This window comes from Homo sapiens, chromosome 11 (assembly GCF_000001405.40).
Source record: "Homo sapiens chromosome 11, GRCh38.p14 Primary Assembly".
NCBI lineage: Eukaryota > Metazoa > Chordata > Mammalia > Primates > Hominidae > Homo > Homo sapiens.
This window is the reverse complement of record NC_000011.10, coordinates 22,187,292-22,204,805: the sequence shown is the minus strand read 5'-3', so window position 1 is coordinate 22,204,805 and position 17,514 is coordinate 22,187,292. Positions and strand designations below refer to the sequence as shown.

Sequence of the window (17,514 nt, the reverse complement as noted above, 5' to 3'; positions counted from 1 at the left end):
TAGGTCTTTGAGGAATTGCCACACCATCTTCCACAATGCCTGAACTAATGTACACTCCCACCAACAGTGTATAAGCATTCCTTCTTCTCCACAGCCTCACCAGCATCTGTTATTTCTTGATTTTTTTAACAATAGCCATTCTGACTAGTGGGTCACTGAACTTTTAAAGGAACCCTGTAACTTCTAGGAATCTTAATGAGCTTATCCAGCCAACTAGCAAATAGCCAACCTATTCTAGAAGGACGTGTTTTCCAAGCAGAAATTTCAATCATTCCTGGAAATTCTTTTTAAATCCTGTTTATATCTGGCAGGACATCCTGAAACCACTCAAGGACGTCTACCTCTGTGAGAGCTATGCATGGGATTCTTTATCAACTAGAGTCTATCAGAAAAATGATTTCATTGAAATGCCTTTAACATGCTTATATTCAGTATAGAAGCAATATAAATTGTTTGTATGGTTCTTAAAATTTATATAAGAAGTCCTTTGGTTAAAAGAATTCTGTATTTTTACAAGTAGTATTTAATTTATTTATTATTCTATTTAATGTGTTTATGCAATTCAGGTTGAACTCCAGTATAGTCATAGATAAGCACTAATCATACTAATAACTGTAAAATAATAAGCTATCACAGACTACACTAACATTATATTATAGCAAAATGTTAAGCCAAATACTAGTATCTTGCATATCAATGATCAGCATATCTGAGTTTATTTCACAGGGAGCCTCAAAACAAATCAAAGATCTATTTGTTCCCTTATAACATCTAGAAAAGATCCAATATTAAATCTGCATGGAACATGGAACTTGCTTTAGCTACTTAAAAAATGAATAAATTAGAGGGCATAATAGAATGTATTATAAGTAAATAAGTACAAAGGCTTAGTTAACCTTATCTTGATTTTTTATTCTGACTTATAAGGAAGTTAATGCATATATATTTAACTTACCTCACTCATTTGGAAAGAGTAGTCTATATGCTTATTGACTTTTTCCCCTAAATTAAATAAGAAAGAGAAAAACATGTTAAATTAGCCACTGATCAGAACATATTCAAAAGTCTGTGTAAGGAAAAAATAGGAATTGAATGAATTAAAAAATTCAAAGAAAAAATACTAGAAGAAAAGATACAAGATGATTCGGAGCTAAATTGTTTAAAACAGACTCCAAAAGAAGTCTTACCTAAAACTGCCTATAACAGGAAAAGCATAAAATACTGATGTGTAAAATACAATCTCAATTACTGAGAAATAAACTTAACTCTGATCAATGTGGTTATCAACCTATAACCACAAAACCACTGAGAGTTAAATACCCAATAGGGTGTCCATTCATATGTTTTAGTTCTCACCACATGAGATTTCATATTCTCTCACCTTATTTTCCTGAAATCAAACCAGACAGCTTGTATATAGAACACTACCAGTTTCTACACAGGCCAGAGTACTTTCCCGACATACAGATAGCTCCGTAATGGTAATGCATTTAGTCGTTTGCACTAAAATACATGTTCAAGTAAGTTTATGACACTAAAAAAGTTAAATACAGAACTGAAATTCTTATTTTCTAGTGGTTCCAACTTGAAAAAGCCCTAAGATATATTTAAGTCAAAAACTTCCTATATATTTTTTTTGGAGAAAATATCACAATGGGAACCACATAAAATGTTAGCACTTTAAGTTCAAGTTAGTGACCATAATTTTAGAAATACGATAGAAAAACTGGCGAATGAAACTGAACAGAGAGCCCAGAACAAGACACTTTATTATATGGAAACTTGATATTGACCTATTGTAGGGGTTGACTAATGTCTCTCCTACACCAAAATTCATGTCCATCTCAAACCTCAGACTGAAACCTAATTTGGAAATGTAGTCTTTACAGATGTAATTAGTTAATGATCTAGAGATGAAGTTATACTGGATTTAAGGTGGGCCCTAAATCCAATGATGGATGTCCTCCTAAGAAAAGAAGAGGGAACAGAGGCACAGAAGAAGGCAGTGTGAAGATAAAAGCAGAAATCAGAATGATGTGTCTACAAAGCCAAAAAACACTAAGTATTTCAGGTGCTGTAGTCTGAATGTGCTCATGGTGCAGAGCTCTTATGAATGGGATTAGAGCCCTTATTAAAGAGATTCCAGAGAGCTGCTTTCCCTCTTCCATCATGTGAAGACACAGTAAGAAGATGGCATTAATGAGCCAGGAAACAAGCCCTTACCAGACACTGAGTTCAGTACCATGATCTTAGACTTCATAGCACCCAGAACTGTGAGAAATAAATGCTTGTTCTTATAAGTAAAAAATAATAAAATAAAGCAATTGTATAAGTCAAAAAAAAATTTAAAAAATCTACCATTTGTATAGCTTTTTCACAACCCAAGTATGACAGTCCAATTCCTTTTCAAAGATCACACAAATCCCTCAGTTATTCTCTTAAATAATTAAGCCCATTATATACATAAATTTATACTTGACAGAAATTCAACCATTATAGGTCAGCTAGGGAATAAAGTCCAAAGTTTTCTGCAGAGGAATATTTTGAGTTTTGATCTGTACATTGGTTAAAACGAGGCTGTATGTGAAAATAAACACTGGTTTGTAAGAAAGCTTTATTTTATTTATAATTTTATTTTATTTTAAAAAGCAGATTTATGGGTCATAGCTTTGCTAGTATAAGATGGGGTCATTCTTGATATGAGTTTTTTGCCTTTGGCAAACAATAAAATTCTTTAAAATTAACTAAAACCAACCAACCTCTCCAACCTCACCCTTTCACGCTCTTAAGTCTGGCCCACTAGTCTCCTTTCAGATCCTTATACCTTCTTTCAGTTCCATTCTCCCTCTTTGAGGGGCCTTAACACACAATTATTCCTCTGTAAGGAATGCTCTCTGCTATGGATTGAATTTGTCTCCCAAAGTTTATGTGTCAGAAACAATCTGCAATGCAACAATGTTGAGAGGTAGGCCCTTTAAGAGGTGATTAGGTCATGAGTGCTCTGCCTTCATAAATGAATTAGCACTGTTATCACAGGAATAGATTTGTAATAGCAAGAATGGATTTGTTATGAAAGAAAGTTAGGCCATCTCATGTGTGCATGCTCTCTCACCAAGTGATGCCTTCCACCATGTTATGACACAGCAAGAAGGGGCTCACCAGACGTGGTCCCCAACCTTGGACTTCCCAGCTTCCAGAACATGGACCAAATAAACTTCTATTGTTTATAAATTACCCAGTCTGTAGTATTCTGTTATAACAGCACAAAAGGGAATAACACACTCTCTCTCTCCCCACCTTGCCCTGGGTAATTCTTCACATCCTTCAGATATCAGCTTGAAAGTCACTCTCTCCCCAGGGAAGCCTTCTTTCACATATCTGGCTAGTTCAAAGCATCTGATATATCTCTATTTGCACTTGTCAGGGTTTCAATTTTACACGAATATTTGTGCATTTTAATTACTATCTTTTTATCCGCAAAAGAAGATAAGTTTCTGAAAAGTGAGCACAATTTTTGATTTTGTTCTTTTAGCACACTGATTGGCAAATGAAAGACGGCTGATAAACATTTATTGAAAAATTGAATGAGCGAGCTGACAAGGGAGCCAAGTTTTTCACTGTGGCTGCAAATGAAAAGCCAAAATATAATGATAACTTGCCATGCACCAGGCACTGTGCAAAGAGGTATAACAAATATTTACATGGCATTTCCTTTGTATTACATATTATAAGTAATCTAGCAATGATTTAAAGCATGCACAAGGATGTGCATAGGTTATATGCAAATACTATGGCATTTTATATAAGGGACTTGAGCATCCTTGGATTTTGGTACCAGTGGGGTATCCTGAAACCAATGCCTGTGGATACTGAGAGACAACAGTACTCACACACATACATAACACACCCATACAAAACACACCCATACAACTTCTCCTTCTAGGTGATAATTCAAATCCTATATCAGCAATTTTAAAGTACTGTCTGCCATCCCCCATCAAGATACAATTTATTTTACTTTTTGTATGTGTCAAATTTATACATTTTATTTTGTATTTAAAGTTTTATAATAATATTAAAACCATATTTGTCTTTTTCATTCTGTTGACGTTTGCACTGGTGATGCAAAAACAATGGGATAAAACTGCTGGTGCCATCATGTGAATCAAGGCTATGGCACCAGACTATATTAGTAGTCATTATATTCTCCACCATCATGCACTCTCAGTACAAAAAGAAACAAAAATGTAGTTTAACTTAAAAATGTCCTTGATAAACAGTAAAGCTTATGAAGTTTATAAAATCTTGACCCTGAACACACAAATTTTTAATAATCTATAAAGAAACAGGAAGAATGCATGAAGCGCTGATGCTGCATTCCAAAGTACCATGGTTGCCTCATGAAAAAGTACTTTACATTGCAAGGTAAAGTAGCTAAATTTTTCATAAAACACCATTTTAGTTGAAAGTATGATGGGAAAACATATAGAGTCATACAGACCTGACTATTTGTCAGATATTACCTCAAACATTAATGACATGAATCTATCACTTCATGGAAAACACCTGACAGTATTTATTGCCAATGACAAAATTTGAGTTGCAAATGAAATAATTTTTGTAAACTTATGACCGTCACTGTGTGCTTAACAGATTCCCAAGGCATTCCTGATAAGATCAGTGATGATGTTAGCATTACGTTTTGGTATTTTAAAATGAAATATGTCAGCATTTGGAAGATCTGTATAACTCAGTAGATAATTGTTTTCCAAATAAGCAATACATGATGTTACAAAACCATGCATGAGAAAAAGATACATTTAAAGTGAAGGACAGACCAATAGATTTTAATGCAGCAGTGAAATAAAAGTTCATTTCAATGGTTTCAAATTCTACATTATATCTAACTTTAAAGAACCTATTATTCGTTGAATTTGGGGGCAAATCAGAGAAGAATATCCATAATTATTCAAAAACTTTCTAAAATTATCCTCCCTTTTCAACTATAGATCTCTAAGAGGCCAGATTTTTTTCATACACTTCAACCAAAACACAACACATCACAACAGAGTGAATGTAATGCAGATACGAGAATACCTATATTTTATCAGGCCAGAGATCAAAGAGATTTTTTTTAAAGTAGAACAATGCACTCTTATCACTAAATTTACTTTGTTTTAGAAAATATACCTATTTTCATAAAACTATGTTAAGATGAAATAGAAGACTCCTAAGCATGAGAAATTTGAGAAGATGTCCTTTAATAAAATAGGAAAGACTTAATGGTGGGTGACTAATACAGCAGAGGCTACAGGCTACTGACAAATATCTTTCCTCCTCCTCCTCCTTCTTTGCTAATAGAACCTCAATTATATGGTGTAGTAATGTACTCAAGCAAACAAAACATTTCCTAGCATCCATTGCAAGAGTATGACATAAATTCAAAGCTCTCAGCTGTCATAAGTGGTATGTCTATCTCATAATGTTTGTGTAAGCACTAAATAGATAATGCATGTACTTGGCATATAGGAGGTAAGCAGGTGTTATTCTTGTTGATATTGTTGTTATTATTCTATTCTACTGTTAAGCTTCAAAACTGCTGTAAATTCCTTGGGCTAAGTTTCAGAATGTCAGAATAAAATCGAAATAACTCCTTCTGTATTCAGATCTTTGTGTTGCAGGATCTGCTCTTAAAATGTTTTACTCTAAGCAAAACATGAAAACTAACCAACTATAGCTATACCACTTAACTTTCTGAGTGCAGGCTTTCTCATGTAAAAGATACAAATCTAAAGGGAAATGCTTGAAAAATATTAAACATCATGCAGTATTATCATCAATGGGTTTTACCCATGATTACTGCCTAAACACATAGCTCAAAACTCAGTTGATCCTGATCCTGATCATCTCTCGTTAGATCTGTGAATGAAAAGGAGACCAATTTAGAATGGCTTTACAGTGAATAGATAAAGAATAGGATTCTAAGAAATACAAGCCTTGTGTCTCAAGATATGATAGTTAACATTGACTTAGAGAGGCTTTTTTTTAAGGACAAAAACAGTCACTATTATGCCAAAGAACAATGCATCAAACAAAATATAGTTCCAATCACAGAACAATCAAGCAACTGCAAACCTTAAGCTAGGTTTAAAGAGTTTTACAATTCTATTTTTACAAAAAGAAAGTTGAAAAACTGCAAACACTAGCCCCTCTTTTTCCTAATTATTTTTGTTCCATTTAACATAAAACAAGTAGGTGAAAAAATATTTTCAAGCTGCTATTAAAATTTGATGCGATGCATTTATTTGAGAATGTGGAAAAGGGACAATATGAATCCCCCAGATTACCTCCTATTATTACTAGCTCTCCTTTCACACTTTAACCTTTAAAATTACAGCTTTCTTTCTCTAGAACTAACACTGTTTCTTCCCTTTCTAACTCTTGCTTATTTTTCACATTATATCAGCCTAGACCTCCTCCTTTCAGGCCTTGCCTGAAACCTCAACTGTCCCCTGGATTGGCCTCCCACCTGCTCCCATACCACCTTGAATGCAGCCCTCTCTGGACACCTAGCTCAAATACACATCCCTCCACAAGACTGTCAGCTCCAGAGAACCAACAGAGACACATTTTGTCAACTGCATCCTTTTGTGAAACATCGGGACATTCAAGAGGATAGATTTACTTCCACACACACCATGCTCCCTCTCACCCCTGCACACTTACTGCTCGCTAGCTCTCTCACATGTATGCACCCTTGCAATTAGATGTTCACACAGACCATAGACTCAGACACTTTCATACTCCCTCATGGAGTATAAAGATGCTGTGACTATGCATAATCACCAAAACCTCTGTCAAAACTGAGGCCTGACTGAAGAGGCAGGATTTGAAGCCAACAACTCTGTCAGCTTCTTTCTATTCCTCCAACTTCCTCTAAAATGAATGGATAGCACTATACTCTCCCTGCGGGCTAGATTCCAGGGATATGAAAGATTTGGTACCAATCACTGTGGAGAATCATCAAATACTTGCCAAAAGTAAAGCCAGCCTAAAGACTGAGTCTTGAGTTTTCACTGAAAGCACATGACTAAGAATACACACTCCAGCAAATCCACAGCCCAAAAATAGCACTTGTACTTACCAACTGGTCTTCTCAGTTTACACTCTTACTAGCAGTATAAAATAAAATATTTCTAATCAAATATTAACATTACTAAAGACGGATGGCTTAGTTGGACACAATGCTTAACATAGCCGTAAAGATGCAAACAACCTAACGTTCAAGTTTTAATCTGCCTTTTCCAATGCTAAAGTCTCAAACTGTCTTTTCCAATACCAACTGTATCATAAATCAGCTAAAGCATAAACATTTCTTGAGGCTATGGTGAGCTATGATCACACCACTGCACTCCAGCCTGGGCAACAGAGTAAGACCTCAAAAAAAAAAAAAAAAGTTAAATTCCAGCAATGACATTTTACTGGCAATGTTTGTTTATGTAACTAATTAAGTGCTCTATTAACTTCTGCCATTAGAATTTCATTTTTAAAATTAGAAGATAGTAGGAAATTAGCCAATTGGAGATCACTGATTCCTCATGTGTTTAATTGTGAAAAAAGTAGAGAAGATGTAATAAATCTTAGATCTATTAAGTCTAAAAGGCAAAATGTTATGTTGTCTCTCTTACAATCAATTTTATAAATTAACTCTCATATTCAGTATTTAAAGGTGATTTAGAAAGCACATACAAAATCAAGGCTTACCTATATGGGTAAATTTAGTCTAAAAAGTCTTCTTATATTTTAAAACATAGAAATGAAAGTAGCTATTAAAAATTGATGCTCTGGAACTTGAATTTTTCAGCCTTCTTCAGCCAACACTTTTGTTTTCATAACAGTGTCGTTTATTTTATTTTTATTTTATTTATTTATTTATTTGAGACGGAGTCTCACTCTGTCACCAGGCTAGAGTGTAGTGGCGCAATCTTGGCTTACTGCAACGTACGCCTCCCAGGTTCAAGGGATTCTCCCACTTCAGTCTCCCGAGTAGCTGGGACTACAGGTGCATGTCACCACACCCAGCTAATTTTTGTATTTTTAGTAGAGATGGGGTTTCACCATGTTGGCCAGGATGGTTTCGATCTCTTGACCTAATGATCCACCTGCCTCGGCCTCCCAGAGTGCTGGGATTACAGGCGTGAGCCAACACACCCAGCCAACAGTGTCATTTAAATCCAAGAGAAAATATATCTGGAAGCAGAGTTCTAAAAATCCACTGGAATGTTCATTAAAAAAAAAAAAAAACTCTCATAACAATGAACTTTTCATACATCTTAGTGCTATGGTTTAAATATCCCTCCAAAACTCATGGTGAAATTTAACTGTCATTGTAATGGTATTAGGAGGTAGAGCCTTGAAGAGGTGATTACGTCATGAGGGCTCCATCCTCATGAATGAATTCATGCCATTCTCATGGGAGTGCAACAGTTACATTAGAATTGGGTTCCTAATGAAAGGATAAGTTTGGACACATTTATCTCTTGGTCTAATGTGCTCCCTTGACCTTCCAACATGTTAAGAGGCAGCACAAAGGTCCTTGTCAGATGCCAATACCATGCTCTTGGACTTTCCAGACTCCAGAACCAAAAGCGAAATATTTTCTTTATAAATTACCCAGGCTGTGGTATTCTGTTATAGCAATAAAAAAAAGTAGGCTAAGATACCTAATAAGAACACAGGTCTCAATAATGGGCAGTAAAACTAAACCAGCAAAAGAACTGACATGCTAAGAAACATCTAAAAATATACGAGTCATATGAGTGGCCTGAACTATGCTGCTCTTTAGGCCCTGATCTCATCAATGCCACACTTCCCTGATGCTTGGGTTCTGGTTCTTTGAATATATCTAGATACAGGAATTTGGGCAGAATGCAGTAATTAGTCCCAGCCATCAAATATACGGTATTCCTCATCAATATCTATTTCTCTCACCTCCACCCTAATCAGAGGCACAATTTGGATCACATGTAAGCATAAATAGATTACAAAGGCCCTTTTTTAAAATGGGGGAGTGTGACTGGGCATTGTGGCTCACATCTGTAATCCCAGCAATTTGAGGGGCCAAGTCAGGTGGATCAGCTGAGCTGTGGAGTTCAAGACCAACTTGGGCAACAGGGTGAAACCCCATCTTCATAAAAAAAATAATAATTAGCTGGGGAGGTCGTGGTGCAGCACCCATAGTCCAAGACACTCCAGAGGCTGAGGTGGCAGGATCGCTTGAGCCTGGGAGTCAGAGGTTTCAGTAAGCAGAGATGATGCCCCTGCATTACAGCCTGGGCAATAGAGCCAGACCCTGTCTCAAAAAATAAAAAAAAAAAAAAAATAAGGGGGGTATGCTTCAACTGACACCATTAAGAACATAGAATGATAACACTCAGAATGGGAGGAAATATTTGTAAATCATATATCTAATAAGGGACTTGTATTCAGAATATATAAAGAATTCTTGCAACTCAATAATGAAAAATACAACTAAATTTTTGTAAACAGGCAAATGATCTGAATAGACACTTCTCCAAAAACGTGAATAACTAATAAGTATATGAAAATACTTGCTACATTAGTCAGTAGAATCAAATCACAATAGAATCAAAATCACACTGAGATACCACTTTACAACCACTAGGATGGCTATAATAAAAAAGACAATAACAAGTGTTAGTGAGTATGTACAGAAATTGGAACCCTCATACATTATTGATGGGAAGGTAACATGCAGATGCCTGGAAAACAGTTTGGCAGTTTCTTAAAATGTTCAATATAAAGCTACCACATAATCCAGCAATTCCACTCCTAGATATATACCCGAGGAAAATAAAAGCATATGTTCATATGAAAACTGATACATCAATGTTCATAGCAGCATTATTCATAGAAGCAAAAGAAAGTGGAAATAACACAAATCCTACCATCGATGAATGGATAGGTATGCTATATCTCTACAACGGAATAGTATTTGGCAATTAATAAGAATGATGCACTGATAAAAGCTGCAGTATGGATTAACTTCAAAAACGTTAATCTACGAGAAAGAAGCCAGTTACAACAGACCACATGTTGTATGATTCTATTTATTCGAATGGTCTTGAATAGGCAAATCTATAGAGACAATAAAGAGATTACTGGTAGGAAGTGGGGAGGATGGGAAGTGACTGCCTAAGAGGTTTCTATTTGGGGTGATGAAAGTGTTCTAAAATTAGATTATGATGATAGTTACAAAACTCTGTAAATACACTAAAAAAAATCCAACTTTACACGTCAAATAGGTGAATTTTACAGTATATAGATTATATCTCAATAAAGCTGCTTAAAAAAGGGAACGAGGAGGATGCAGTAACACACGGTATTTCCCGGTGCCTTTGAAGACTGAATAGTAATGATCAGATCTTTTGTCACTTTGGAAAACTGTTTCTGTGTTTAAATCCAACACTAAACAAGACATGAAAATAAAATATCATTGAAGGAACTGGGGTCCTGGAGATAGCAGCAAAATAGTATGTGCATTTTAAGGAAAATACATGTATTAAAATAGGTCCACGGAATACAGGTGGTGTAAAGGCTTTGGCAAACAATGGATAAATATTTCTCAACGGAACTAAAGGGCTTAATGAAAGCTGTTGAAAAGCAACAGCAGCAGCAGCAGCAGCAGCTTTTCCAAGTGCCTATGGCTCTCAGTATCTCAAACTGATAGATTTTAGGATCTGCTACTCCTACAATTAACAAGCATCTCAAAGCATGATAAGTAACGGGCAGAGAGAGTGAGGTAATAAGACTCAAGGACCAGCTCCTTACACGTGGGATAGCTGTCTTGCACTCTATACTGCTGCTTTTTTTGGGAAAGCCTTCGTTTCCATTGGCTGGGTTCGGAGACCCAAGCACTGCAGCGCTAGCCTAGCAGCCCTGAATTACTCGGCGGTTCCCAGGCCTGCAGGGGAGCAAGGAGGGTGTTCCGGAACCATAGGGGTCACAGGTCGCAGGTCCCTGGCGCGCAGGAGCAGCAGAGAAATCTGTGGGGCGCCGAAACCAACCCCACTCACCCCAGGCGGGGGACTCTGCCCCGCAGTCCCGGTTTCGCGCTGAGCACGCCACGCAGCGAACCTCCCTAGGACTCAGGCCGCAGGGCCGCCAACGTCCCCCGGGGCCTCTGCGCCGCGGGTGGAGGGGTGCAGGCAGCCAGCCTGGCTCTCCCTTGACGCCTCTTGGCGCGGTCCTACCTTCCTCCGCCAACACTTCCAGGAGATCCGGGTCGCCCATCTTCGCCAGCTCGTTAATGGCACTGGTGCCTGAGAGGCAGCAGGAGAGGGGCAGCTGAGACAGACGTGGAGATCTGAGGCAGGTGCTGAATCTGACTGTGGGCCGCCGGAGTTGCTGCTGCTGGACTTCTAAGGGCCTGCTCTTCCTTCTGCAGGCCTCCTTCTCCTCCTCCTCGGACTCCACCGTCTCTGGGCGCCACAGCCAGCCGGCCTTCCTCTCCGGCGGGTACTTCCACTCGACCCGGTCCCCCACAACCTGCTTCGCGCGCTTGGCCCTGCGCTTCCCCACCCTCAGCCGGTAGCGCTCCTGGGCGCTCTCCCAGTACTTCTCCAGGCACCTGTCCCTGTGCCTGCTCGGCAGCTGATCCCGCAGCCGCCACTCCTCCCGGTGCTCGCCAGGATCCTTTCCACTCCTGCCCTCTGGCAGCTTTCCTTTCCCCTTCGCTGCGTCCCTGTTTCCACGCCTCTTTCCCCGCCTCCAGACCGCAAGACCGGCCGGCGCCCCACCCTCGGAGACCGCCATCTCCCCGCCCCCCGGCCCGGCTGGCTCCACGCTGGCCCCCTCCTCTCCGCTCAAGCCGTCCCCAGGTCCCTGCTCTGCCGCCTCCCGCACCTCCTCCGGACATGCAGCCTCCCGTCCCTCCTCGGGACCCGCCGCCCCCCGGCCCTGTTGGCCGGCCTGCTCCATTCTGTACAGGCTTCGCACGTCCTTTTCCACTGGGTCCACCCACGACCAGGAATCCTGGTTCCCCAGGGCTGCCGCTTCCCTCCTGTCGGAATCCTCCTCCTCCGATCCCCAAAGGGGGTCCCGATGCTCCCTCAGCCGGTTGGCCGGGTCTTCATCGATCCGCTCATGCGTGCCACTCGGAGAGAACCCCTCTCCCAGTTGGGAGTTACTTTTGGTCTCGTGGGGAAAAGTCCCTCTCCCTTAAAGGAACCCCTCCCTTTTAAGGCCGGCTCATGGCCCGAGACTCCAAGGTGCCAGCAGCCCCTTCCCCATAGCGTCTGGAGCGGGAGTATTGACTTTTCTCCTGGCCCTGCCTGCTTCCTGGGTTCCCAGCAGGATCTCTGCCCTCTACAGGTGGGGGAAGGTCATCCCTTGTGGCCTGAGTTCCAAGTCAGCCTCTGCCCCTTAAGAGTTGGATAGTGTGGGGCAAGTTTCTCTAAGTTTCAGTTTCCACATATTTAAAGGAGAATGATAATAGTACCCACCTCCTAGGCTGTTGAGAGAAGCACGGTGCACAGTCCTTGCCACAGAATGTGTTAAACATTTAGCTGCTATTAAGATTAACCCATATTATAGTCCAGCTGGGATGACGCCTGTCATCATCTCAGCTGGACGATATCGCTTGAAAGCTCAGGAGTTCAAGACTAGCCTGGGCAACATAGGGATACCCCTGTCTCTACAAAAAATTGGAAAATAGCCAGTCATGGTGGCAGGCACCTGTGGTCCCAGCTACTCGGGAGGCTGAGGTGGGAAGATCGCTTGAGCCCAGAAGATTGAGACTACATAGAGCCACAATCATCCCGCTGCACTCCAGCCTAAGTGATGGAGAGCAAGACCCTGTCTCAAAAGAAAGTAAAGAAAAGAAAAAAAGAAGAGGGAGGAAGGAAGAAGAGAAAAAAAAAAGAAAAGAAAATTAACTCATATTACATTGATCCCTACTCCATTTCAAAGGGTTACTTTGTTTCCCCCCTCCACTTCCTGCCCACCCCAACCAGAACTTTAACCTCAAGCAGAATGGGTCGTTCTACTCCTCACAGGCCCCTCTGCATTGGTTCTGTGTTTTTGAGACCCGATCAACTGCCAACTACACAATAATTGAGAGACTAGATTCACTGTCTAATGGCGGGGAAATAAGACTGATGATGAACTAACAGTGAGGTAGAGGTCTCAGCTGAGAGCCTTGAGTGATGAGGAGGGAGTGACTGTATTAGTCTGTTCTTATGCTGCTAATAAAGACATACTTGAGACTGGGTAATTTATAAATGAAAGAGGTTTAATGGACTCCCAGTTCCACATGGCTGGGGAGGCCTCACAATCATGGCAGAAGGCAAAGGAAAAGCAAAGGTGCGTCTTACATGGGGGGAGGGCAAGAGCTTGTGCAGGGGAACTCCGATTTATAAAACCATCAGATCTCCTGAAACTTATTCACTATCACTAGAATAGCATGGGGGAAACCACCCCCATTATTATCTCCACCTGGCCCTGCTCTTGACACGTGGGGATTATTACAATTCAGGGTGAGAATTATTACAATTCCCTGGGCATGCCACGCAGCGAACCATATCAGTGACTCTGAGTTTAGGATAAGGATGGGGTGATTTGAAAGTTAGGATGAGGTGACCAAAGAAGTCTTGACCTTTCTTCATTTTTCTGCTACTGCATTCCCCTCCCCACCCACCATTCTATTGATATTTCAGAACTGAGAATCACCTTTTGCAGATAAGGAAACAGGCCTAGAGAGAAGTGGTTTGGTAAAGGTTATGATTAACCACGGAACTGGAAATCAGTTTTGCCCCTATACCTTACTTTCCTGCCTATATGTCTACGAATACATGAGCTCTAGTCAAGTGATTTAAGACTATAGGTAGGCAATTCCCTACTTGATGTAATTTGGAATTGTGTTTGAAAGGTGACTATACATAAGCATAGATTTACACATTAAATTATAATGACTAATTGTGATAGAAGTGTTTGGTTATCATCTCTTGATTATTAATCCTTGTTTGGGCTTCTAAGAAAATTTCTACAATATGAATGTTTTCTAATATTTTTCCTGAAATCAGGTATTTTTCTAGATGCTGTGGACATTGTGAGTTAAGAGCTGGGGAGAATCTTTGCTTTATATAGATGAAGTTAAAATAAAGAAAATAAAATTATTTTTCTAGTATTTTATATAATTCCTTGTTTCATGTTTTTTTATTCTGTTCTGTATTTGAAATGATGTGTATGAGAAGACATTATATGTTGATGATTTTGCTCCATACTAAATGAAACATTTTCAGGCTGAATTTGCTTAGATTGTTATCAACATGCTTTAAACTTTGTTAGCAAGAGTTGAAAACCAGCTGTGTCCTTCTAATAAAGGTCTGGGTTGTGACCATAACTCTTTAGATCTTGAGAGAAATATTCTCTATATTCATATCATTGACATATTTTATATTGCTTATACATTTATACTTTTAGGATATGCCCATTTTCTCCTCCATCACTATACTCTGCCTCGTTAGATACAATCTTTAACCATACATTTCCAGAATTACGTTCTGAGTAATTTATATGTGTTCCTTTAATGTAATTGAACATTCAGTTAAGTATTGAATATAGCCCAAAAGTTGTCTTTTTTTAACCATCCAAATGATTTCAGCCTTTGTTTAAATTATTACAAGCATCTGGTAACACTTTTTCTTATTTGCCTTTTATATCTTATCCTGAGTAGTATGCCAAAGTTTTTAAACGATCATGTAAACATAGTTATAAAGATATAAATGGTGATATTTTGGAAACTAAACTATCAACTGGCACCTGACAGTATTTGTATGCCTGCTAATCAGTAAAAGTGTGAATTCCCTGTAGGAAAGGCATCTCAGGAATGTAAGTGTACAGTATGTGAAAAAAAGAGCCTAAGCTGTATGAAAGTTAAATGTACACTCTTGAGCAACCCCTGCATGTGAAGTTTTTATTATTCTAGCAGGCTGATTGAATCACTGAACTTAATCAGATTAAAGAGCATAAGTTTACAAGCTAGACTCCGAAGACTAGTAAAGGCCTCAGGAAGCCACCTAATGAATATATTTTCCTTCTAGTATTTAAAGCAAGGATGTGGTACCTCCCATCTGTGGCCTAGATTAGTTTGCTTTTTTTTATTTCTTCACATATCAAAACTTTGACTCCTGGAAGTTCCATCCTTTCGGACTTCTTATCATGCAATGGTTTTCTTAACACCTAAAAATTTCATTTATTCCATGTATTTTGAATATCTCTGCAGTTCACATAAAATGCCATACTCTAATACATGGAGCATTGTGCAGGAGTGAAAAGACACACATTAAATCCTTACCCCTTAATAAGGTGGGCAGCACAGTGATTATGGACAGATGACTTGGCTTCTTTGATCCCCAGCTCCCTTCTCTGGATGTGAAGTTTCTTAACTTGTTCCAGCCATTTCTCAGGTTGTTGTAAAAGTCAAATAAATCCTATGCATGAAAGGACTTTGGAAACAATTAAAATGTACCAAAACATGAAAAAGTTTTATTGGCTGGCAGAGGTAAATTTAAAGTAATAGATTTACCAGAAGGTAGGAATAGTAGTTGAGGGTGTTGTTTCCCCCACACTCCTACAAAATGCTGCTTCCACAGTTTCTCTGGAATTTGCAGTTACTTTCTGACTCTACATATTCACTACTCCCTGGTTTCAGAGGAGGGTCCAAATCTCTTTATTTTCCAAATTGATCACTTTGAATCCTGACATTTTTAGGCCCCAGACCTTAACAATAAGCCTCAGTCCTCTTTACTAGCTTGTTCATTTCTGCCTGCCATCTTTCATTCTTCTCGGAAAAAGCTCACTTTATGTGCTGATACCTGGAACCCTACTGGTCATCAGAAAATGGGGTTTAATACTTGGCAGTCACATGCATGCTTGATATTTCCCAATCTCAATGCCTAGGGTGGCATATCCCCTCTGTCTTGTAACCAGAAAACTGTCATTTGTCCTCAGACTACAGAGATCATGGAGAACTGTTCAGCAATAGATATGGAGCAAGGAAGCATTATTCTCTCCTACGCCTGCATGGAACAGCAACTGAGGTTACAAATAATACTCCCGTTTTCAATCTATCGATGGCTTTCTATCACAAACTATTTTGTGGACTTAGGGAAAAATCAAAACATAGTTCTTGTCTATAGAATTGCAAAAGTTCTATTTACATGATGTGGCCCTAACTAAGTCTCCATTATTATTTCCCACGTCTCTCTCCCTCCCCAACTACCCTCCAGCCATGGTGTCATACTGCTGTTCTTCAGACATAACAAGCACTTTCCCATCACAGGGCTTTTGCACTTGCTGTTCCCCTACTCCTCCTAAAGATCTTCATACAGATGTTTGATGGTTAACTGTCTTACATTATTCAGTTTTTCATGCAAATGTCACTTCCCTGGAAACAACTTTGCTGACCACCCTAAGGCAACAACCCAACATCAGTATCTGCTTACTCTGTGTTGTTTGTCTTCACAGCAGTAAAGACTTTCTGGATTTTTATATGTGTTTGTTTATGCATATGTGTTAGCATATAAACTCCATGAAGGCTGAGGTTTTGTCAGTTCTCTTTATTGTTGTATCTGTGGTACCTAGAATGGTGCCTGACACAGAAAGGTTCTATATAAATGTATGTTAAATGAAGGATTTGACCAAGGAGTATCATCAAATTTCCTATTGCCTGAGGTCAGCCAGTAGCTGACTTCTCTGTTGTCCCTTGCTTTCAAGCAGCTGGTTGAGTAATTGTATTATATACATTGGGTGGCCAAGTGCCATTCTGAGAACTAATTTTCTAGTTCTAAAGAAACTATAAAATTGATCGGAAGAAACTACCAGAGCCAACAGTAATTCAGGAATTCATCCCACCATCTGAGCACTAACGTTTTGACTTTCCTCTGAAGACAGGTGCTAGACCTTTGGCAAACAATGGCAGCAAATGACAGGAAGGGGTGAGATAAGACCTATTTTGACTTAGCACTGCTATATTCCTATGGTCACAAGTGTTTCATGGTATAATCACATCCTCTTGTTTAAGTGGCATATGCTTAGGATTGTTATTTTTCTTTAGCATACACATAAACAGGGGCCAAAATTGAATTCAACTGCTGTATATTGGCTACATCAAATATTGCAGTAAGAATCTGGACTTTGGGGTTTGAATGGACAAATCTATATTGCAATTTTCCTCTGATCTTTTACCAATAAACTCTTCCATCAAGGAGTCTACACACACTGGTTCTACATTTTCTTTACCATCCATCAAATCCTGTTTTGAACACTACCACGCCACTGAAGAAAACTGTTCTCTCCAAGATCATTCTTCACTGACCTGTATCAGTCATTAAATCCAATGCCTCTTTCCAAATTTTCCACAACAGCTTGCAAGACCTGTGACATTCTGAGTCTCCTCCCATAACTGACTCCCACTTTACAGGCAGTACAATG

General features: G+C 39.2%; 1 protein-coding gene across 15 annotated transcripts in view, besides 6 other annotated features; it reads right to left on the bottom strand.

Annotated features, from left to right (window-relative positions):
• ANO5 (anoctamin 5) overlaps positions 1-12,333 on the bottom strand; it is a 90,885-nt gene extending 78,552 nt beyond the window's left edge. For 10 of the 15 annotated variants that reach the window (NM_213599.3, NM_001410963.1, NM_001441300.1 and 7 more), the window contains exons 1-2: positions 11,274-11,721; positions 956-1,002 (exon numbers count right to left, since the gene is read on the bottom strand). In NM_213599.3, the coding sequence (NP_998764.1) occupies positions 956-1,002; positions 11,274-11,313 (87 nt within the window). In that variant the 5' untranslated portion in view covers positions 11,314-11,721. Of the gene's footprint in view, positions 1-955; positions 1,003-11,273; positions 11,722-11,925 lie in introns of those variants that run through there. The other 5 variants (NM_001441294.1, NM_001441297.1, NM_001441295.1 and 2 more) reach the window with 2 other exon arrangements.
• Positions 10,904-11,093: an enhancer, noted in NCBI's record as "active region_4532". NCBI's record gives its function as "activates an Ori minimal core promoter by ATAC-STARR-seq in GM12878 lymphoblastoid cells {active_cell/tissue: GM12878}" and the evidence as "EXISTENCE:reporter gene assay evidence [ECO:0000049][PMID:35858748]".
• Positions 11,344-11,433: an enhancer, noted in NCBI's record as "active region_4531". NCBI's record gives its function as "activates an Ori minimal core promoter by ATAC-STARR-seq in GM12878 lymphoblastoid cells {active_cell/tissue: GM12878}" and the evidence as "EXISTENCE:reporter gene assay evidence [ECO:0000049][PMID:35858748]".
• Positions 11,854-11,903: a silencer, noted in NCBI's record as "silent region_3205". NCBI's record gives its function as "represses an Ori minimal core promoter by ATAC-STARR-seq in GM12878 lymphoblastoid cells {active_cell/tissue: GM12878}" and the evidence as "EXISTENCE:reporter gene assay evidence [ECO:0000049][PMID:35858748]".
• Positions 12,084-12,153: an enhancer, noted in NCBI's record as "active region_4530". NCBI's record gives its function as "activates an Ori minimal core promoter by ATAC-STARR-seq in GM12878 lymphoblastoid cells {active_cell/tissue: GM12878}" and the evidence as "EXISTENCE:reporter gene assay evidence [ECO:0000049][PMID:35858748]".
• Positions 12,184-12,243: an enhancer, noted in NCBI's record as "active region_4529". NCBI's record gives its function as "activates an Ori minimal core promoter by ATAC-STARR-seq in GM12878 lymphoblastoid cells {active_cell/tissue: GM12878}" and the evidence as "EXISTENCE:reporter gene assay evidence [ECO:0000049][PMID:35858748]".
• Positions 12,474-12,563: an enhancer, noted in NCBI's record as "active region_4528". NCBI's record gives its function as "activates an Ori minimal core promoter by ATAC-STARR-seq in GM12878 lymphoblastoid cells {active_cell/tissue: GM12878}" and the evidence as "EXISTENCE:reporter gene assay evidence [ECO:0000049][PMID:35858748]".